The 23,554-nt window shown below is 39.2% G+C and overlaps 1 protein-coding gene and 1 pseudogene across 1 annotated transcript in view, besides 1 other annotated feature; one reads left to right on the forward strand and one right to left on the reverse strand.

The window, feature by feature from the left end:
- RAB3GAP2 (RAB3 GTPase activating non-catalytic protein subunit 2) overlaps positions 1-23,554 on the reverse strand; it is a 124,161-nt gene that overhangs the window by 94,120 nt on the left and 6,487 nt on the right. The gene's annotated exons all lie outside the window — the stretch shown is intronic.
- Positions 7,161-7,361: a silencer, noted in NCBI's record as "peak706 fragment used in MPRA reporter construct". NCBI's record gives its function as "represses an SCP1 promoter by STARR-seq MPRAs in K562 erythroleukemia cells {active_cell/tissue: K562}" and the evidence as "EXISTENCE:reporter gene assay evidence [ECO:0000049][PMID:32103011]".
- MORF4L1P1 (mortality factor 4 like 1 pseudogene 1) lies at positions 11,223-12,329 on the forward strand (annotated as a pseudogene).

A 23,554-nucleotide genomic window follows, 5' to 3' on the forward strand; every position in this document is an offset into this window, starting at 1 on the left:
ACAATATAGAGACATCAACAGACAAATGCAACACAAGGCTGATATTACCAAAAAAAAAACTGGAAACTAGGGAAAAAAGTTAGCCACATACATTGAAATGAAGGTTTCCGTGCAATTAATACAGATACAAGCCATTATTCTTTCACAGCTCCGTATTATACCACTGTGTCAATGTAGCATAACTTAATCAACCTTCTAGTATCAGGTATTGTTTTTAACTTTTTTGCAGTTATAAGCACTTCCTTGTAACATGAAACTGTATACTGATTTTTTGACTTTACAAACTGTTTCCAACCTTGCTAAACAACTTTACGAACCATTATTTTTTAAATGAGTAGAGAAAATGTGACTTCAAATATAAGGTAATCATCTATTTTTCCAAACAGAAGATCCAAAAATACAAAGTTTTTTGGGCAATCTGAATACTATACATTGCAAATGCAGGCACTTAGATGACATAATCAAATGCCTACATGTGACATTTAATTGTCACACATCATATAACATTAATTTAGAGATAAAAATGTTCAAAATCCCAATGACAGAAAATACACTGACTTAGAACTCTTGCTTTTATTCATTTTCGTTTTTCAGGAAACAAAACCCTTCCACATGCACCTTCAACATCAGCCTTTATTTTTTTAAAAAAAAGATATAACAGGCTGGGCACGGCGGCTCACGCCTGTAATCCCAGCACTTTGGGAGGCCGAGGGGGGCGGATCACAAGGTCAGGAGATCGAGACCATCCTGGCTAACATGGTGAAATCCCATCTCTACTAAAAATACAAAAAATTAGCCGGGTGTGGTGGCAGGCGCCTGTAGTCCCAGCTGCTTGGGAGGCTGAGGCAGGAGAATGGTGTGAACCTGGGAGGCAGAGCTTGCAGTAAGCCGAGATCGTGCCACTGCACTCCAGCCTGGGTGACAGAGAGAGACTCCATCTCAAAAAAAAAAAAAAAAACATAATAATAAACACATGTATTTACTACACGCAAAGCATTGCTCTAAGCACAACAGCTTTCCCTCTGAGGTATGTACTACTGTTACTTCCATTTCTAAGATGAAATTTCTGAGGCAAATGGAGATTACATAACTCGCTCAAGGTCACACAACTGATAAGTGGCAGAACTGGGATTCGGACCCACGCAGGCTAGCTCAGATGCCATCTTCCATCTACTTTTTCAGTCAACTGTTTTCCAGAGTACATCATCTTCAGTACCATCTCAGTTATTTGAGATAGTCTTTTGAATCTGGTATGATGCTGTCACTGGTCGTTTTGAGTCCACTCACAGTCTCTATTAGCATAACACGTTAAACAGCAATACAACGAGGTGCTGCTATGGAGATCAAAGCTATAGAGCTATACAGAAAATACCTTTGTCCCCTACAGAAAATAGTTTTTTCTTATGCCCAAAGTCTATTTACAAATATTAATTAGGTTACTACCCAGAAAGCAAACTTTGATACAACATCCCAAAAGCAGAAAACACAGGCACAGAAGGGACTACCTTAAAGTAATAAAAGCCATATATGACAAACCCACAGCCAACATCATATTGAATGGGAAAAGTTGAAAGGATTTCCCCTGAGAACTAGAACAAGGCAACTTTTACCACTTCTATTCAACATAGTACTGGAAGTCCTCACAAGACTAATCAGACAAGAGAAAGAAATAAAGGCCATCCAAATTGGAAAAGAGGAAGTAAAAGTGTTGCTGTTCACTGATGATATGATCGTACAAAAAATCCTAAAGATGCATCCAAAAGGCCCCTGGATCTGATAAGTGAATTCAGTAAAGTCTACAGTTACCAAATCAATGTACACAAATCAGTAGCACTACTATACACCAACAATGACCAAGCTGAGAACCAAATCAGCAACTCAATCACTTTTACAACAGCCGCAAAAAAATAAAACACCTAGGAATATACTTAACCAAGAAGGCAGAAGATCTCTACAAGGAAAACTACAAAACGCTGCTGAAAGAAATCACAGATGACACAAACAAATGGAAACACATCCCATGCTCATGGACGGGAAGAATCGATATTGTGAAAATGATCATACTGCCCAAAGCAATCTACACATTCAATGCAATTTCCATCAAAATACCATCATCATTTTTTCACAGAACTAGAAAAAAAATCCTAAAATTCATATGGAACAAAAAAAGAGCCCGCATAGCCAAAGCAAGACTAAGCAAAAAGAACACATCTGGAGGTATCGCATTACAGGACTTCAAATTATACTACAGGGCTATAGTTACCCAAACAGCATGGTACTGATGTAAAAATAGGCACTTAGACCACTGGAACAGAATAAAGAACCCAGAAGTAAAGCCAAATATTTACTGCCAACTGATCTTTGGCAAAGCAGAATGACAATGGATCCCCATCTCTCATAAAAAATCAACTCAAGATAGATGAAAGACTTAAATCTAAAACCTGAAACCATAAAAATCCTGGAAGATAACATTGGAAAAACTCTTCTGGATATTGGCTTAGGCAAAGTATTCCTAAGACCCCAAAAGCAAGTGCAGCAAAAACAAAAATAAATAAATGGGATCTATTTAAATTAAAAAACTTCTGTACAGCAAAAGAAATAATCATCAGAGTAAACAGAAAACCCACAGAGTGGGAGAAAATATTCAAAAACCATGCATCTGTCAAAGGACTAGCATCCAGAATCTACAAGGAACTCAAACAAATCAGCAAGAAAAAAAAAAACTCATTAAAAAGTGGGCAAAGAGGAGGAGCCAAGATGGCCGAATAGGAACAGCTCCGGTCTACAGCTCCCAGCATGAGTGACACAGAAGACGGGTGATTTCTGCATTTCCATCTGAGGTACCGGGTTCATCTCACTAGGGAGTGCCAGACAGTGGGCGCAGGCCAGTGGGTGCGCGCACCATGCGCGAGCCGAAGCAGGGCGAGGCATTGCCTCACTTGGGAAGCGCAAGGGGTCAGGGAGGTCCCTTTGCGAGTCAAAGAAAGTGGTGACGGAAGCACCTGGAAAATCGGGTCACTCCCACCCGAATATTGCGCTTTTCAGACAGGCTTAAAAAACGGCGCACCACGAGATTATATCCCACACCTGGCTCGGAGGGTCCTACGCCCATGGAATCTCGCTGATTGCTAGCACAGCAGTCTGAGATCAAACTGCAAGGAGGCAGCGAGGCTGGGGGAGGGGCGCCCGCCATTGCCCAGGCTTGCTTAGGTAAACAAAGCAGCCGGGAAGCCCCAACTGGGTGGAGCCCACCACAGCTCAAGGAGGCCTGCCTGCCTCTGTAGGCTCCACCTCTGGGGGCAGGGCACAGACAAACAAAAAGACAGCAGTAACCTCTGCAGACTTAAATGTCCCTGTCTGACAGCTTTGAAGAGAGCAGTGGTTCTCCCAGCAAGCAGCTGGAGATCTGAGAACAGGCAGACTGCCTCTTCAAGTGGGTCCCTGGCCCCTGACCCCCGAGCAGCCTAACTGGGAGGCACCCCCCAGCGGGGGCAGACTGACACCTCACACGGCAGGGTATTCCAACAGACCTGCAGCTGAGGGTCCTGTCTCTTAGAAGGAAAACTAACAAACAGAAAGGACATCCACACCGAAAATTTTCGCAACCTACCCATCTGACAAAGGGCTAATATCCAGAATCTACAGTGAACTCAAACAAATTTACAAGAAAAAAACAAACAACCCCATCAAAAAGTGGGCGAAGGACATGAACAGACACTTCTCAAAAGAAGACATCTATGCAGCCAAAAAACACATGAAAAAATGCTCATCATCACTGGCCGTCAGAGAAATGCAAATCAAAACCACAATGAGATACCATTGCAGTTAGAACGGCAATCATTAAAAAGTCAGGAAACAACAGGTGCTGGAGAGGATGTGGAGAAATAGGACACTTTTACACTGTTGGTGGGACTGTAAACTAGTTCAACCATTGTGGAAGTCAGTGTGGCGATTCCTCAGGGATCTAGAACTAGAAATACCATTTGACCCAGCCATCCCATTACTGGGTATATACCCAAAGGACTATAAATCATGCTGCTATAAAGACACATGCACACGTATGTTTATTGTGGCATTATTCACAATAGCAAAGACTTGGAACCAACCCAAATGTCCAACAATGATAGACTGGATTAAGAAAATGTGGCACATATACACCATGGAATACTATGCAGCCATAAAAAATGATGAGTTCATGTCCTTTGTAGGGACATGGATGAAATTGGAAATCATCATTCTCAGTAAACTATCGCAAGAACAAAAAACCAAACACCGCATATTCTCACTCATAGGTGGGAATTGAACAATGAGATCACATGGACACAGGAAGGGGAATATCACACTCTGAGGACTGTCGTGGGGTGGGGGGAGGGGGGAGGGATAGCATTGGGAGATATACCTAATGCTAGATGACGAGTTAGTGGGTGCAGCGCACCAGCATGGCACATGTATACATATGTAACTAACCTGCACGATGTGCACATGTATAATAAAAAATAAATAAATAAAAAGAAGAAAAAAAAAGTGGGCAAAGCACATGAACAGATATTTCTCTAAAGAAGATATACAAACAGCCAACAAATACATAAAAATTGCTCAACATCACTAATAATGAGGGAAATGCAAATTAAAACCACAAAAAAATACCACCTCACTACTGCAAGAATGATCATGATTAAAAAGTCAAAAAACAATAGATGTTGGCATGGATGTGTTGAAAAAGGGACACTCTTACACTGCTGGTGGGAATGTAAATTAGTACAACCTCTATGGAAAACTGTATGAAGAGTCCTCAAAGAACTAAAAGTAGATCTACCAGGTGATCCAGCAGTCCCACTACTGGGTATCTCCCAAAGGAAAAGAAGTCATTTTATGAAAAAGACACATGCACACACGTTTATAGCAGCACAATTCACAACTACAAAGATATGGAACCAACCTAAGTGCCCATCAACCAACAAGTGTATAAAGAAAATGTGGTATATATACACCACAGAATATCACTCAGCTATATTAAGGAATGAAATAATGTCTTTTGCAGCACCTTGGATGGAGCTGGAGGCCAGTTTTCTAAGTGAAGTAACTCAGGAATGGAAAAGCAAAAACCGTATGTCCTCCCTTGTAAGTGGAAGCTAAGGACAAAAAGACATACAGAGTGATATAATGAACTCTGAGGACTCGATGAGGGGAGGTTGGGAGGGAGATGAAGGATAAAAGACTACATATTGGGTACAGTGTACACTGCTCAGGTGATGGGTGCACTAAAAATCTCAGAATTCACCACTAAAGAACTCATCTGTGTAACAAAAAATTCACCTGTACCCCCAAACTGTTGAAATTTTAAGAAGCAGAAAACATACAGACTATACTCCCCAATAACAATAGAGCAAAACAGCAATCAGCAATAAAAAGATAACTAAATGAAAAAATTTTAAAAAGAACCACTTGGAAATTTTTTTAGTATTACTTTTCTACAGATCTTAGACAAATGAAAAAAATGAATAAAGATGAAAATAGAAATTAATTAGAAACTTTGAAAAATTAGACTTGATAAAGAGAAGTAAATGTAAACAAAAACCAATAAAATAATAAATTTTAAATAAAAATATTATGAGATCCAGGTCACAACCATAAATTTAATAAAGTAACTAGACACTCAGATATATATTGAAGTGTAAGATTTATATGAGAAGCAAAAAACTTTGCTAAAAGATGCAAAAAAAATGAATAAAACTATCTAGATAAATACTGTATGATCTCACTTATAAGTGGAATCTAAAAAAGTCAAACTACTAGAAGCAGAGAGTAGAAATAAGATGTCAGTCAAAGGGTAAAAGTTTTCAGTTACAAGATGAAGTTATGAGGACCTAATGTACAGCATGGTAAATATGGCTGATAATACTGTACTGTGTACTTGAAATTAGCTAAGGGAGTAGATCTTAAGTGTTCTCCCAACCAAAAGAAAAAAAAATTAACTATGTAAGGTGATTGTAACAATCATTTCATAACGTATATCAAATCATCATGTTGCACACCTTAAATATGTACCATTTTTATTTGTTGATTATACTTCAATAAAGCTAGGGGTAGGGGTAGGGGTTGGGGAAATAGACCTAGAGTTTGGGAAAATGTCAATCGTTCCCAAATTAATATATAAACTTAAAACAATTCTCATTAAAATCCCAGTATAAATTTGGTTTGGTTTTTTTTTTTTGGATAATTCTAAAGTTCAATGGGAAGAAAAATGTATAAGAATAACCCTAAGACTTTTTTTGAAAGAAAAGTAGTGATATGGCTTGTGTCCCCACCCAAATCTCATCTTGAATCGTAGTTCCCATAATCCCCATGTGCCATGGGAGAGACCCAGTGGGAGGTAATTGAATCATGGGGGAGGTTCTCATCATAGTGAGTTCTCACGAGATCTGATGGTTTTGTAAAGGGCTTTCCCCCACTTTGCTCTCACTCATTCTCCTTCCTGCCACCATGTGAAGAAGGACATGTTTGCTTCCCCTTCTGCCATGACTGTAATTTCCTGAGGCCTCCCCAGCCAGGCTCAACTGAGTCAGTTAAACTTCTTTCCTTTATAAATTATCCAGTCTCAGGTATGTCCTGATGGCAGCATGAGAACAAACTAATACAGTAAATTGGTACTGGAAGTGGGGTGCTGCCATAAGGATACCTGAAAATGTGGAAGCAACTTTGGAACTGGTTAACAGGCAGAGGTTAGAACAGTTTAGAGGGCTCAGAAGAAGACAGGAAAATGTCGGAAAGTTTGGAACTTTCTAGAGACTTGGGGGCTCAGAAGACAGGAAGAGGTGGGAAAGTTTGGAACTCCCTAAAGACTTGTTGAATGGCTTTTACCAAAATGGTGACAGTGATAAGGACAATGAAGTCCAAGCTGAGGTGTTCTCGGAAGGAGATGACAAACTTCTTGGGAACTGGAGAAAAGGTCACTCTTGTTATACTTTAGCAAAAAGACTGGCAGCATTTTGCCCCTGCCCTAGAGGTTGGTGGAATTTTAAACTTGAGAAAGATAGTTTGGAATGGGAACTTGTGTTTAAAAGGGAAGCAGAGCATAAAAGTTTGAAAAATTTGTAGCCCGACAATACAATAGAAAAGAAAAACCCATTCCTGAGGAGAAATTCAAGCAGGCTGCAGAAATTTGCATAAGTAATGAGGATCCAAATGTTAATCACCAAGACAATGGGGAAAATGTCACCAGTGCATGTCAGAGATCTTCATGGCAGCCTCTCCCATCACAGGCCCGGAGGCCTAGGAGGAAATAATGGTTTTGTGGGCCCAGGGCCTTGCAGCTTTGTGCAGTCTTGGGACTTGATGCTCTGTGTCCCAGCCATGGCTAAAAGGGGTCAACATATAGCTTAGGCCATTGCTTCAGAGGGTGCAAGCCCCAAGCCTTGGTGGCTTACATGTGATGTTGGGCCTGTGGGTGCATAGAAATCAAGAACTGAGGTTGAGGAACCTCTGCCTAGATTTCTGAGGATGTATGGAGATGCCTGGATGTCCAAGCAGAAGTTTGCTGCAGGGGCAGAACCCTAATGGAGAACCTTTGCTAGGGCAGTGTGGAAGGGAAATGTGGGGTACAAGCCCCCACACAGAGTCCCCACTAGGGCACTGTGGAGCTGTGAGAAGAGGGCCATTGTTCTCCTGAACCCAGAATAGTACATCCACCGACAGCTTGCACCATGCACCGGGAAAAGCCACAGACACTCAACATCAGCCATGAAGGAGGCCTGGAGGAAGGCTGTACCCTGCAAAGCCACAGGGGGGGAGCTGCTCAAGGCTCTGGGAGCTCACCTCTTGCATGAGTGTGACATGGACGTGAGACATGGAGTCAAAAGAGATCATTTTGGAACTTTAAGGTTTAATGACTGCCCCCATTGAGTTTTGGACTTACAGGGGGCCTGTAGCCCCTTTGTTTTGGTCAATTTCTCCCATTTGGAAAAGGTGTATTTACCCCATGCCTGTACTCACATTGTATATAGGAAGTAACTAACTTGCTTTTGATTCTACAGGCTCATAGGTGGAAGGGACTTGCCTTGTCTGAGATGATACTTTGGACTTGAACATTTGAGTTAATGCTAAAATAAGTTAAGACTCTGGGGGACTGTTGGAAGGACATGATTGTATTTTGAAATGTGAGGACATGAGATTTGGGAGGAGACAGGTAAAATGATATGGTTTGGCCATGTCCCCACCGAAATCTCATCTTGAATTGTACTTCAGATAATCCCCATGTGTTGTGGGAGGGACCTGGTGGTAGGTAATTGAATCATGGGGGTGGTTCATGATAGTGATAGTGCTGTTCTCATGCTGTTCTCATGATAGTGAGTTCTCACAAGAACTGATGGTTTTATAAGGGGCTCTCCCCCAACTTTGCTCTCACTCATTCTCCTTCTTGCCACTATGTGAAGAAGAATGTGTTTGCTTCCCCTTCCTCCACCACTGTGTTTCCTGAGGCCTCCTCAGGCATGCTGAAGAGTGAGTCAATTAAACCTCTTTTTTTAATAAATTACCAGTCTCAGGTTATTTCCTTACAGCAGTGTGAGAATGGAGTAATACAAGTACTTTGGCAGAAACTGTCTCTACTAAGCATTAAAATGGACAGAAATTGACAAATAAGTCAGTGAAACAGAAGAAAAGCCATAAAAGGAGGCAAGTATTTCTGACTAGTTAACATGGTAAAAACAGCATCTCGAATTAGTAGGAAGTTGATGAATTAGTTAATAAATTGTGTTAAAACAATTGCATATCCATTTGCAATAAAATAAGGATAGGTTTCCACCTTAGATTTCACACTTACACACATGCACACAAATGTGATATTTAGATTAAGATATTTAGATTTAGATTAAAATCTAGTAGAATGTTTTACAAGCTTAAGATTGGAAAGATCTTTCAAAGGAGAATATGAAACAGAAGCTAAAAAGGCAAAGGTTAAGAGATATGATTATATAAATATTTGCAAAATATAAACACAGGATATGATAAACTTTTGTAAAACAATAGAAAAAGTTTAAAGATACAATTAAAAAGTCAGCAAAAATTGTGAATAGTTAATTTACAAAGCAAGCTCTACTTGACTGATACACATTGAAAATGCTCAACTTTTCTCAATTTTAAGAGGTATGAATTAAAGCCATGATATACCATTTTTCATTTATCAGAAGAACAAAAGTCAAAGACACTGATCATATTATGATAATAAGTGTATGTGTAGATAGGCACTGATTATCATAGATAGGACTGAACCTGAAAACCAATTTTTAGAGTAATTTGGCAATTGTGACCCACATGTATAAGGATGCTTAGTGGAGCACTGTTCTTACAGCAAAAATATCAGAAATAACCTTAAAAATGTTCACTGATCAGGCAATTATTAAATAGAGCCTAGTGGAGTCTTCAGTGTAATATTATGTAACCATTAAGAACATGCTATAGACTGGGTGCGGTGGCTCATGCCTGTAATCCCAGCACGGAAAGCCGAGGTGGTGGGATTGCTTGAGCCCACAAATTCGAGACCAGCCTAGGCAACATAGTGAGATCCCCATCTCTACAAAGAAATAGAAAAAGTAGCTGGACATGGTGGCACATGTCTGTAGTCCCAGTTATTTGGGGAGGCTAAGGCAGCAGCAGGATCAATTGAGCCCAGATGGTGGAGGCAGCAGTGAGCCATGATGGCACAGCCTAGGTGATAGGCTGAGACCCTCTCTCAAAAAAAGAAAAAAAAAAAAAAAAAAGAGAAAATGAAGAAAAAAAACAAGCTAGAGCTATATATACCTGAAAACTATAAATGACTTGGAAAGATATAGATATTATATAATATATAATTAAACTACAAAGGTTGCAGATATGCATTTTATAAAAATGAGATCACAATATAAAATTACAAATAAATAAAATTCCCAATTAGCTTGTGTGTATGTGTGTGTTGACTGAGCACAGAAAGTCTGAAAGAAGTCTCAGACCTGAAATGGACGATTAGAAGCAGCTGTGGTCTGTGGAGCTTATGGAGAGAAATGAAAAGGGGCAAGTGAATTCAGAACCTTCAACTGAGATACCCAGGTTCTTGCACTGGGACTGACTGGACAAACAGCTTGACCCAAAGAGAACGAAGAAAAGTACGAGGGAGTGGAGGGGGCGACGGCCCACCTGGAAGGGGCACGGAGCCAAAGAAACCGTCACCTCCCGCCAAGAGAAGCAGTGAGTAATTGTGCTACCCTACCTGGGAAACCACACTTCTCCCATGGATCTTTGCATAGATCTTTCCATGGATCAGGAGATCTCCTCATGAGCCCACACCACCAGGGCCTTGGGTCTGATACACAGAGCTGTGTAGAGTCTCGGCAGAGCAGCCACTCAGGCACACACAGAGAACCATGAGTTTTACATACTACAGCTGGGATCGCTGGCAAGGCAGGAAATCTGTCTGTATATATCCCTAAGAAGGGGGCTGATTCCAGGGAGCCAAGCAGCATTGTTTTGTGGGCCCCACTTCCACGGCACCTCACAAGTTAAGACCCACTGGCTTGGAATCCCAGCCAGCCAATGGTGGCAGATTGGAATCTCCCTGAGATGGGTCCAAGTTCCCAGGGGCGGAGGGGTGGCTACCATCTTTGTGGTTCGGTAGACTCAGGCACTCCAGCCTGCTGGCTGTGGAGAATAGACAGTTTACGAGGAAGGTTCCCCAACAATGAAGAACAGCTGCCTTGTCAGATTGTGACCAGACTGCTTCTTGGGGTGGGACCCTGATACCATTCCTCCTCACTGGGTGGGACCTCCCAACAGGGGTCTCCAGCCACCTCCTACAGGTACATGTGGGCCAGCAACAGGTCAGTACTCCACCAGAATGCAGCTTCCAGAGGAAGGGGCTGGCTGCCATCTTTGCTGTTTTGTGGCCTTCACTGGTGATACCTCCAGGTACAGGAGAAACTGAGGCAACTGGGGTCTGGAGCAGATCCCCAGTAAACTGCAGCAACCCTATGGTAGAGTGGCCAGACTGTTAAAAGAAAACCAGAACCCAGGATGTAGAGCTGGCAGTGCCTGACGGCGCGTCTGACGCGGAGTTGGGTGGGGTAGAGAGTAGGGGGCGGTAGTCGGGGGTGGTGGGAGAAGGAGGAGGCGGCAAATCACTTATAAATGGCGCGGAAGCAGGACCCGAAGCCTAAATTCCAGGAGGGTGAGCGAGTGCTGTGCTTTCATGGGCCTCTTCTTTATGAAGCAAAGTGTGTAAAGGTTGCCATAAAGGACAAACAAGTGAAATACTTCATACATTACAGTGGTTGGAATAAAAATTGGGATGAGTGGGTTCCGGAGAGCAGAGTACTCAAATACGTGGACACCAATTTGCAGAAACAGCGAGAACTTCAAAAAGCCAATCAGGAGCAGTATGCAGAGGGGAAGATGAGAGGGGCTGCCCCAGGAAAGAAGACATCTGGTCTGCAACAGAAAAATGTTGAAGTGAAAACGAAAAAGAACAAACAGAAAACACCTGGAAATGGAGATGGTGGCAGTACCAGTGAGACCCCTCAGCCTCCTTGGAAGAAAAGGGCCCGGGTAGATCCTACTGTTGAAAATGAGGAAACATTCATGAACAGAGTTGAAGTTAAAGTAAAGATTCCTGAATAGCTAAAACCGTGGCTTGTTGATGACTGGGACTTAATTACCAGGCAAAAACAGCTCTTTTATCTTCCTGCCAAGAAGAATGTGGATTCCATTCTTGAGGATTATGCAAATTACAAGAAATCTCGTGGAAACACAGATAATAAGGAGTATGCGGTTAATGAAGTTGTGGCAGGGATAAAAGAATACTTCAACGTAATGTTGGGTACCCAGCTACTCTATAAATTTGAGAGACCACAGTATGCCGAAATTCTTGCAGATCATCCCGATGCACCCATGTCCCAGGTGTATGGAGCGCCACATCTCCTGAGATTATTTGTACGAATTGGAGCAATGTTGGCCTATACACCTCTGGATGAGAAGAGCCTTGCTTTATTACTCAATTATCTTCACGATTTCCTAAAGTACCTGGCAAAGAATTCTGCAACTTTGTTTAGTGCCAGCGATTATGAAGTGGCTCCTCCTGAGTACCATCGGAAAGCTGTGTGAGAGGCACTCTCACTCACTTATGTTTGGATCTCCGTAAACACATTTTTGTTCTTAGTCTATCTCTTGTACAAACAATGTGCTTTGAAGATGTTAGTGTATAACAATTGATGTTTGTTTTCTGTTTGATTTTAAACAGAGAAAATAAAAGGGGTAATAGCTCCTTTTTTCTTTTCTTTTTTTTTTTCATTTCAAAGTTGCTGCCAGTGTTTTCAATGATGGACAACAGAGGGATATGCTGTAGAGTGTTTTATTGCCTAGTTGACAAAGCTGCTTTTGAATGCTGGTGGTTCTATTCCTTTGACACTATGCACTTTTATAATACATGTTAATGCTATATGACAAAATGCTCTGATTCCTAGTGCCAAAGGTTCAATTCAGTGTATATAACTGAACACACTCATCCATTTGTGCTTTTTTTTTTTTTTTTATGGTGCTTAAAGTAAAGAGCCCATCCTTTGCAAGGCATCCATGTTGTTACTTAGGCATTTTATCTTGGCTCAAATTGTTGAAGAATGGTGGCTTGTTTCATGGTTTTTGTATTTGTGTCTAATGCACGTTTTAACATGATAGATGCAATGCACTGTGTAGCTAGTTTTCTGGAAAAGTCAATCTTTTAGGAATTGTTTTTCAGATCTTCAATAAATTTTTTCTTTAAATTTCAAAGAAAAAAAAAAGAAAACCAGAAAACAACAACAACAACATGAACAAAAAAGACCCCACAAAAACCTCATTCAGAGGTCAGCAACCTCAAAGACTGAAGATAGATAGCCCCCAAAGATGAGAAAGAATCAATACAAAAGCACTGAAAACTCAAAAAGTCAGAGTTCCTCTTCTCTAAATGACTGCAACACCCCTCCAGCAAGGGCACAGAACCAGGCTGAGGTGGAGATGGCTGAATTGACAGAAGTCGGCTTCAGAAGGTGGATAACAACAAACTTTGGTGAGCTAAAGGAGCATGTTGTAACCCAATGCAAAGAAGCTAAGAATCATGATCAAACAATACAGGAGCTGATAGCCACAACAGCCAGTTTAGAGAGGAAGGTAACTGACCTGATGGAGCTGAAAAATACAACATGAGAAGATCACAATACAATCACAAGTATCAATAGCAGAACAGACCAAGTGGAGGAAAGAATCTCAGACCTTGAAGACTATCTTTCTGAAATAAGACAGTCAGACAAGAATAGAGGGAAAGAAAATGAAAAGGAATGAACAAAACCTCTGGAAAATATGAGATCACATAAAGAGACCAAATCTATGACTGATTGGGGTACCTGAAAGAGATGGAGAGAACAGAACCAAGTTGGAAAACAGTTCAGGATATCATCCAGGAGAACTTCCCCAATCTAGCAAGACAGGCCAACATTCAAACTCAGGAAATGCAAAGAGCCTCAGGAAGATACTCCTCAAGAAGATCAACCCCAAGACACATAATCATCAGATTCTCCAAGGTCAAAATGAAAGAAAAAATGTTAAGGACAGCCAGAGAGAAAGGCCAGGTCACCTACAAAAGGAAACCCATTAGACTAACAGCAAATCTCTCAACTGGGGGTCAATGTTCAACATTCTTAAAGAAAAGAATTTCCAGGCCAGAATTTCATACCTGGCTAAGCTAAGCTTCATAGATGAAGGAGAAATAAGATCCTTTTCCGATAGGCAAATGCTGAAGAAATTTGTTACCACCAGGCCTGCCTTGCAAGAGCTCCTGACGGAAGCACTAAATATGAAAATAAAAAACCATTACCAACAACTACGAAAACACAGTGAAGTACACAGACCAGTAATACTATGAAGCAACCATATAAACAAGTCTGCAAAATAACCAGCTAGCATCATGATGACAGGATCAAATCCACACATAACAATACTAACCTTAAATGTAAATGGGCTAAATGCCCCAATTAAAAGACATAGAATGTCAAGCTGGATAAAGACGCAAAACCTTCAAGGACCCACCTCACATGCAAAGACACATAGGCTCAAAATAAAAGGATGGAGGAAAATTTACCAAGCAAATGGAAAACAGAATAAAAGCAGGGGTTGCAATCCTAGTTTCTGACAAAACAGACTTACAAAACAGACTTTATGCCAACAAAGATTTAAAAAGACAAAGAAGGGCATTACATAATGGTAAAGGGTTCAATTCAAAAAGAAGAGTTAACTATCTTAAATATATATGCACCCAATACAGGAGCAGTGAGATTCACAAAGCAAGTGCTTAGAGACCTACAAAGAGACTTAGACTCCCACACAATAATAGTGGGAGATTTTAACACCAACTGACAACATTAGATCATGGAGACAGAAAATTAACAAAGATATTCAGGACCTGAACTCAGCTCTAAAACAAGTGGACTTGATAGATATCTACAGAAATCTCCACCCAAATTCAACTGCATATGCATTTTTCTCACCACCACATGACACTTACTCTAAAATTGATCACATAATCAGAAGTAAAACACTCCTCAGCAAATGCAAAAGAACTGAAATAACAGTCTCTCAGACCACAGAACAATCGAATTAGAATTCAAGATTAAGAAATTCACTCAAAAGGCTGGGCGTCGTGGCTCATGCCTGTAATCCCAGCATTTTGGGAGGCTGAGGTGGGCGGATCACGAGGTCAGGAGATCAAGACCATCCTGGCTAACATGGTGAAACCATGTCTCTACTAAAAATACAAAAAATTAGCCGGGCGTGGTGGCACGTGCCTGTAGTCCCAGCTACTTGGGAGGCTGAGGCAGGAGACTCACTTGAACCTGGGAGGCGGAGGTTGCAGTGAGTGAAGATCATGCCACTGCACTTCAGCCTGGGTGACAGAGCAAGACTCCATCTCAAAAAAAAACAAAACAAAAAAAAACAAAAAGAAAGAAAGAAATTCACTCAAAACCACACAACCAGAAGCAAATTGAACAACCTGCTCCTGAATGACTTTTGGGTAAACAATGAAATTAAAGCAGACATCAAAAAGATCTTTGAATCTAATGAGAACAAAGAGACACTGTACCAGAATCTCTGAGATGCAGCTAAAACAGTGTTAAGAGGGAAACTTACAGCACTAAATGCTCACATCAAAAAGCTAGAAGGATCTCGACTTAACAACCTAACATCTCAAGTAAAAAGAACTAGAGAACCAAGAGTAAATAAACCCCAAAGCTTGCAGAAGACAAGAAATAACCAAGATCAGAGCTGAACTGAAGGAGATAGAGGCACAAAAAGCCCTTCAAAAAAAATCAATGCATTCAGGAGCTGGTTTTTTAAAAAAATTAATAAAATAGATAGAACTCTAGCTAGACTAATAAAGAAGAAAAGAAAGAAGAATCAAATAAACACAATATGAAATGATAAGGGGAATATCACCACTGACCCCACAGAAATACAAACAACCCTCAGAGAATACTATAAACACCTCTGTGTTTATAAACACAGAGAAATAAGGTAGAAAATCTATAAAAAATGGATAAATTCCTAGACACATACATCTTCCCAAGACTCAACCAGGAAGAAACTGAATCTCTGAACAGACCAGTAATGAATTCTGAAATTGTAATAAATACCCTACCAACCAAAAAGAAAGCCCAGGACAAGATGGATTCACAGTGGAATTCTTCCAGAGGTACAAAGAAGAGCTGGTACCATTTCTACTGAAACTATTCCAAAAAATTGAAAAGGAGGGACTCCTCCCTCATTCTATGAGACCAGCATCATCTTGATACCAAAACCCGGCAGAGATACAACAAAAGAAAAAAACTTCAGGCCAATATTCCTGATGAACATCAGTGTAAAAATTCTCAATAAAATATTGGCAAATTGAATCCAGCATCACCTCAAAATGCTTATCTACCACAATCAAGGTGGCTTCATCCCCAGGATGCAAGGTTGGTTCAACATATTCAAATCAATAAATGTGATTTATCACATAAACAGAACTAAAGACAAAAAACCACATGAATACCTCAATAGATGCAGAAAAGGCCTTTGATAAAATTCAACATCCCTTCATGTTAAAAACTCTCAATAAACTAGGTATTAAAGGAACATACCTCAAAATAGTAAGAGCCTTGTATGACAAACCCACAGCCAATATCATACTGAATGGGCAAAAGCTGGAAGCATTTCCCTTGAAAACCAGCACAAGACAAGGATGCCCTCTCTCACCACTCTTATTCAACATAGTATTGGAAGTTCTGGCTAGGGCAATCAGGCAAGAGAAAGAAATAGAGGGTTCTCAAACAGGAAGAGAGGAGTCAAATTGTCTCTGTTTGCAGAGGATATGATCCTATATCTAGAAAACCCCATCATCTCAGCCCAAAGACTTCTTAAGCTGATAAGCAACTTCAGCAAAGTCTCAGGATACAAAATCAATGTGCAAAAAATCACAAGCATTCCTATACACTACGACAGAAAGGCAGCCAAATTATGAATGAACTCCCATTCATGACTGCTACAAAAAGAATAAAATATCTAGGAACACAGCTAACAAAGGAAGTGAAGGACCTCTTCAAGGAGAACTACAAACCATTGCTCAAAATCAGAGAGGACACAAATAAATGGAAAAACATTCCATGCTCATGGATAGGAAGAATCAATATTGTGAAAATGGTCATACTGCCCAAAGTAATTTATGGATTCAATGCTATTCCCATTAAACTACCACTGACATTCTTCACAGAATTAGAAAAAAAAATTATTTTAAAATTCATATGGAACCAAATAAGAGCCCAAATAGCCAAGACAATTCTAAGCAAAAAGAACATAGCTGGAGGCATCACACTACCTTATTTCAAACTATACTGCAAGCTATAGTAACCAAAACAGTATGGTACTGGTAGAAGAACAGACACATACACCAATGGAACAGAACAGAGAACTCAGAAATAAGGCCCTTACCTACAATCATGTGATCTTTGACAAATTTGACAAAAACAAGTAATGGGGGAAGGACTCCTTATTTAATAAATTTAATAAATTTAATAAATGGGACTACTGCCTAGCCATATGCAGATCATCGAAACTGGACCCCTTCCTTACAACATATACAAAATTTAACCCAAGATGGATTAAAGACTTAAAGGTAAAACCCAAAACTATAAAAACCCTAGAAGAAAATCTAGCAATACCATTCAGGACATAGGCATGGGCAAAGATTTCATGATGAAAATGCCAAAAGCAATTGCAACAAAAGCAAAAATTGACAAATGTGATCTAATTAAACAAAAGAGCTTCTGCACAGCAAAAGAAACTATTGTCAGAGTGAACTGATAATCTACAGGAGAAAATTTTTGCAATCTATCCATCTGACAAAAGTCTAATTATCCAGAGTCTACAAGGAACTTAAACAAATTTACAAGAAAAAACAAGCAACCACATTATAAACTGGGCAAAGGATATGAACAGACACTTCTCAAAAGAAGACATACATGCAGCCAAAAAACATATTGAAAAAAAGCTCAATATCACTAATCATTACAGAAATGCAAATCAAAACCACAATGAGATACCATCTTATGCCAGTCAGAATGACTATTGTTAAAAGGTCAAAAAACAACAGATTCTGACAAGGTTGCAGAGAAAAAGGAATGCTTTTACACTGTTGGTGGGAGTGTAAATTAGTTCAACCACTGTGGAAGACAGTGTGGTGATTCCTCAAAGACGTAGAGGCAGAAATACCTTTTGGCCCAGCAATCCCATTACTGGGTATATACCCAAAGGAATATAAATAATTCTTTTATAAAGATACATGCCCACATATGTTCACTGCAGCACTATTCACAATACAATAGTAAAGACACAAAATCAACGTAAATGCCCATCAATGATAGACTGGATAAGGAAAAATGTGGTATATATACACCATGGAATACTATGCAGCCATAAAAAGAAACAAGATTACGTCCTTTGCAGGGACATGGATGGAGTTGGAGGCCATTATTCTCAGCAAACTAATGCGGGAACAGAAAAACAGACACCACATGTTCTGACTTATAAGTGGGAGCTGAATGATGAGAACACATGGACACATAGGGGAGGACAAAACACACTGGGGCCTGTTGGGGTGGTGGGGGGAGGGAGAACATCAGGAAGAATAGCTAATGGATGCTGGGCTTAATACCTGGGTGATGGGGTGATCTGTGCAGCAAACCACCATGGCACACATTTACATATATAACAAACCTGCACATCCTACACATGCATCCCTGAACTTAAAAGTTGAAGAAGAAGAAGAAAAAAGTCTTACTAAGGCAATACTTCCAATAGAACTTTCTGTAATCATGGAAGTATTCTGTATCTGTGCTGCTCAATATGGTAGCCACTAGCAACATATGGCTTGAACACTTCAAATGTAGCCACTGTGACTGAGGAACTGAATTTTTTAAAATTTAATTACTATTGATTTAAACTTAAATGTAAATAGCCATATGTAGCTAGTGGCTACCATGTTAGACAGCACAGTACTGAGGTTTTAACGTCTGAAAGGTAGAGTATGAGTAGCCAGGTGGTGGTTTTTATGTCTGATTTTACATACTTTAAAAAAAAGGGGGGGCAATGTGGTAAGTAATGTCTACTCTCTTGACCTGATGAGATTCTCTCTTCTGGGGAACTTAAATGTGAGATTTAGACTCACATTGTACAAAGAAAAGTAATCTATGTTCAAGGGACCATTTCTGGTCTCTTTTTTAAAGGCAAGATATGGTCACAGCAGATACCTAGGAGTTTCAAGAATTCTTCTCTATGAGGAAGGTTCAACAACTTACTCTTCATTCAAGGTCTCAATAGTCCCAAATTGTATTAAGCATAGTACTCATTCAAAAATACTTGTCATACTTCCAGGACTGTCACTGTGTATACTATAAAATAACCTCTTATGAAAACCATGCTAAGGAAAAGATAATCTCCTCTTTTGGAATACTGCAATAGCCTCCTAACTGGTCACTCCACTTCCACTTTACCCATCACTCCCATCCATTCTTCTCTTTGCTGACAAAGAAATGTCTCTAAAATATTTGTCTGGCTATCCTATTTCTCAGCTCAAATTCTAATAGTCTCAAACTCCACTGCCATTGCTATCACCTTAGTTCTGCCTTTATGGGCTCTAACTTGGACTTCTACAACTATCTATCTAATGGTCACCTGCCTCTAGCTTTGAACTGCCCAATCTATTCTCTTTACAGCTACCAAATATATCTGTTTAGAACTCAAATCTTAAAATATTTTTGCTACACTTTTACTTAAAACCATCAATGGCTACCCTCTGCCCATAGCAGAGATTCTTAGTATGCTGTAAATGGGTTGCAGGTGAGCCAAGATATTGATCCTTTTAGCAGTAAAAGCAGTCAGGTAGGGCCTGGAACTACTGGAACTTATGTCACTTTCCATCATAAGCAGCTTTGTCGCGTTTTTAAATAATCTATTTATTATTAATCTAATTGATTGACATTTTGTATTTTGGTTAAAAAAAACACACAGGCCAGGCGCGGTGGCTCACACCTGTAATCCCAGCACTTTGGGAGGCCAAGGCGGGCAGATCACGAGGTCAGGAGATCGAGACCATCCTGGCTAACACAGTGAAACCCCATCTCTACTAAAAATACAAAAAAAAAAAAAAAAAATTAGCCAGGCATGGTGGCAGGCACCTGTAGTCCCAGCTACTCGAGAGGCTGAGGGAGGAGAATGGTGTGAACCCGGGAGGTGGAGCTTGCAGTAAGCCAAGATGGCACCACTGCACTCCAGCCTGGGCGACAGAGCAAGACTCTGTCTCAAGAAAAAACAAACAAACAAACAAACAAACAAAAAAACATAAAATTTATCAACTTAACCATTTCTAAGTGGACAGTTCAGTAGTGTTAAGTGTACTCACACTGTTGTGAAAAAAAAAGATCTCCAGAACTTCATCTTGCAAATCTGAAACTCTGTATCATTAAACAATTCCCGTTCTCCCTTTCCTCAGCCTCTGGTAACCGCCATTCTATTTTTTGTTTCTATAAATGACTACTTTAGCTTCCTCATGTAAGTGGAATCATATAGTAGTTGTCTTTTTGTGACTGGAATATTTCACTTAGCATAATTTAACAAGGTTCATTCATGTTATAGCATGTGACATTTCTTTGATTTTAATGGCTAAACAGTATTCCATTGTGTGTATAATACCACATTTTGTTTATCCATTCATCCATCGATGGGCATTTGGGTTGTTTCCACCTCTTGGCTACTGTGAACTGTCTATGAACATGGGTGTGCAAACATCTCTTCAAGACCCTGCTTTCAATTCTGCTGTATATACACCTTGAAGTGATATTGCTGGATCATATAATTTTTTTAAAATTTTTTGAGGAACTCTTATTTTTTCCTTAATGGCTGTACCATCTTATCATCCCACCAACAATGCACAAAAGTTTATAATTCTCCACATCCTCACCATATCCTGATACTTTTTTTTTTTTATAGTAGCCATTTCTAATAGGTGTAACATTTCATTATGCTTTGGTTTGCATCACTCTGATGATTAGTGATGTTAAGCATCTTTTCATGTTCTTTTTGGTCATCTGTATATCATCCTTGAAGAAATGTCTACTTAAGTCCTTTGCTCATTTTAAATAGGGTTGATTTTTTGTTGTTGTTATTGAGTTGCAGGAATTCTTTATATATTCTGGATATTAATCCCATATCAGATACATGATTTGCAAATATTTTCTCCCATTTTGAAAACTGCCTTTTCACACTGTTGATTGTGTCCTTTGATGCACAAAGTTTTTAAGCTTAGTGTAGCCCCATTTGTCCACTTTTGCTTCTGCTGCCTATGCTTTTGGTGTCATATCCAAAAGCATGCAAGTCCAATGTCATGAAGCTTTTCTCCTATGTTTTATTCTAAAGTTTTACAGTGTTAGGTGCTGCATTTAGGTCTTTAATCTATTTAATTTTTGTATATGGTATAAGATAAGGATTCAATTTCATTCTTTTGCATATGGATAGCCATTTCCTCTAACATCATATATTCAAGAAGCTGTCTTTTCCCCCAAAGAATGCTCTTGGCACACTTGCTGAAGATCATCTTGACCATGTATGTGAGGGTTTACTTATCAGCTATCTATTCCATTCCATTGGTTTGTTTGTCTTTATGCCAGTATCATACAGTTTGGGTTATTACAGCTTTGCAATATGCTTTGAAATCAGAAAGTGTGAATCTTCTAACTTGTTTCTTCTTTTCCAAAATTGTTTTAGCTGTTTGGGGTCCATATCTCATTTTTCTTATGTACGCTATTATGCCAACAAAAAAAAGAAAAGACAAGACTGGGAATCACTGAGTCTTACAGGAGAATGACCTTCAAATTTTTTGTTCATATATGCCCCAAAAGAATTTTTTAGTATGTATCTCTTGCAAAAAATATGTAATTTCTGTTATACTATAAACATGTACATTTAAACATAAAACTATTATTACTTTTTAAAACTTAGTGGATTCTAAACACTATAGGGAAATGATACCCACCGACATCCATTAAAAAAAAATGCTGACCTTCTCAACAGTTTTTACAAGTCCTTTATTCTCCTTGAATACTTATTTCTATTCTACTTCCTCCACAGAATGCTATTCTAATAAACACAGATTTTTATTATTATCAGTACAAAACTCTCTCTGCAAAAAAGGATATGAATTAAGAAAACATTTTCCTGTGATAAGACTCTTAAGTATTAACATTTTTCTTCTTGCTTGAGTTATTACAATTATTTTATGTAAATAAGTGAGGAAAACAACATAAATATATCATAAATCTTGATAATTAAACAAAAAGTAAAATTTGGAAAACTAATAATAAAACGAATGGAGGAATTTACAACACTTTGATTAAAGGGGAGGTTTTTTTTACACCTTGAAGCAACTTACTATAATAAGACTACAAACGTGTCAGAGATAAAGTGGGAGAAGGCAGGGTGAGAAAGTAGGCACTTTCACAGGTACATGTGGAAAATGATTTACTTAAAATCATCTGTTCCCAAGCAACCTTTTATAAATTTCCATGATCCCAAGGTACTCTTACTTCAATCTAAAGACCCTGCTACTGAATAAAATCTAAACTCCTTCACCAACCTCTTCAATTTCACCTCTGAACACATCCCACCCTCCCACCACAATTTACTATTTGCAGCTTTCTGAATCCCATACTGTTTCACATCTGTTGTCTATTTTCTCTCCATCTGATGGACATCTTTAAACTATTAATGTGTAAATATCACCTCCTATATGAAGACTTTCTGGGTTTCCTGCATAGACTAGACCAACACTCCTTCATTCTCTCCCATCATGTGCCATATCATAGCATAACACCTCTAACAATCGTTTCACATACGTGTCTTCTTTTATTAGCTGAAAATTGCTTGAGGGACTTATTTTATTTATCTTTAAACTCATTTTGTGCTTAGAACATAGTAGATGCTCAATAAATACTACCTGAATGAAGAAACTGAAGAACACTCAAATCTCAATTTCCTCACTGGTAAAATTTTATCTGTATGATCCTCTTCCAATTTTAAAGAAACCCAGTAACTCTATATATTTTCTGAAATCTCTATAAATGTTCTATTTTCAGATTATTTTCTCTCCTAGTATGATCTCAAACTAGAGAAAATATTTTACTACATATAAAAAATAGAGTATTTTATATCATTTGTGATAGCCCATTATGCAAAGTGATTCTATGATTTTAGGTTATCCTAAATAAAGCACATTTTTCTCAGAGATTGCTTAAAAACATGAATTGATTATTTCAACATAATTCCCTACATGCTTTATATTCTGGTTGGTAAAAGAGGCAAGAAGGAAAACTATTCCACATTTTTAGTATGTCAATAAGAAATTATTTTACTATTAGGTAAATCAAGAAATCCACAATATTATAATACCCAAATTATCTCCAACTATTCTGGCTCTCCCTCTCTATTCATGTATTTATTTATTTATATATTTATTTATATTTTTGCCCAACCCAACTGTAAATTTCAGAAAGTTCTGGTCTAGGCATTGGAAATTATGTCACTATAGGTTAAATGGGGACCCATAAAGTGGGGACCTATACTCCACCCATCCCTGCAACTTCAAAGTAATAAACCAGGGAGAGTGGCTCATGCCTATAATTCTAGCACTTTGAGAGTCCAGGTGGGAGGATCACTTAAGCCCAGGAGTTCAAGACCTGCTTGGGCAACACAGCAAGACCCTATCTCAACAAAAACCAAAAAAATTATCTGGGCATGGTGCTGCATACTTGTAGTCCTAGCAACACAGGAGACTGAGGTGGGAGGATCCCTTGAATCCAGGAGTTTAAGGCTGCAGTGAGCTATGATCATGCCACTGCACTCTGGCCTGGGTGACAGAGTGAGGCCCTGTCTCTAAAAAACAAAAACAAAACAAACAAAAAAGCCACAAAGCAGT

This window comes from Homo sapiens, chromosome 1 (assembly GCF_000001405.40).
Source record: "Homo sapiens chromosome 1, GRCh38.p14 Primary Assembly".
Taxonomy (NCBI): Eukaryota; Metazoa; Chordata; class Mammalia; order Primates; family Hominidae; genus Homo; species Homo sapiens.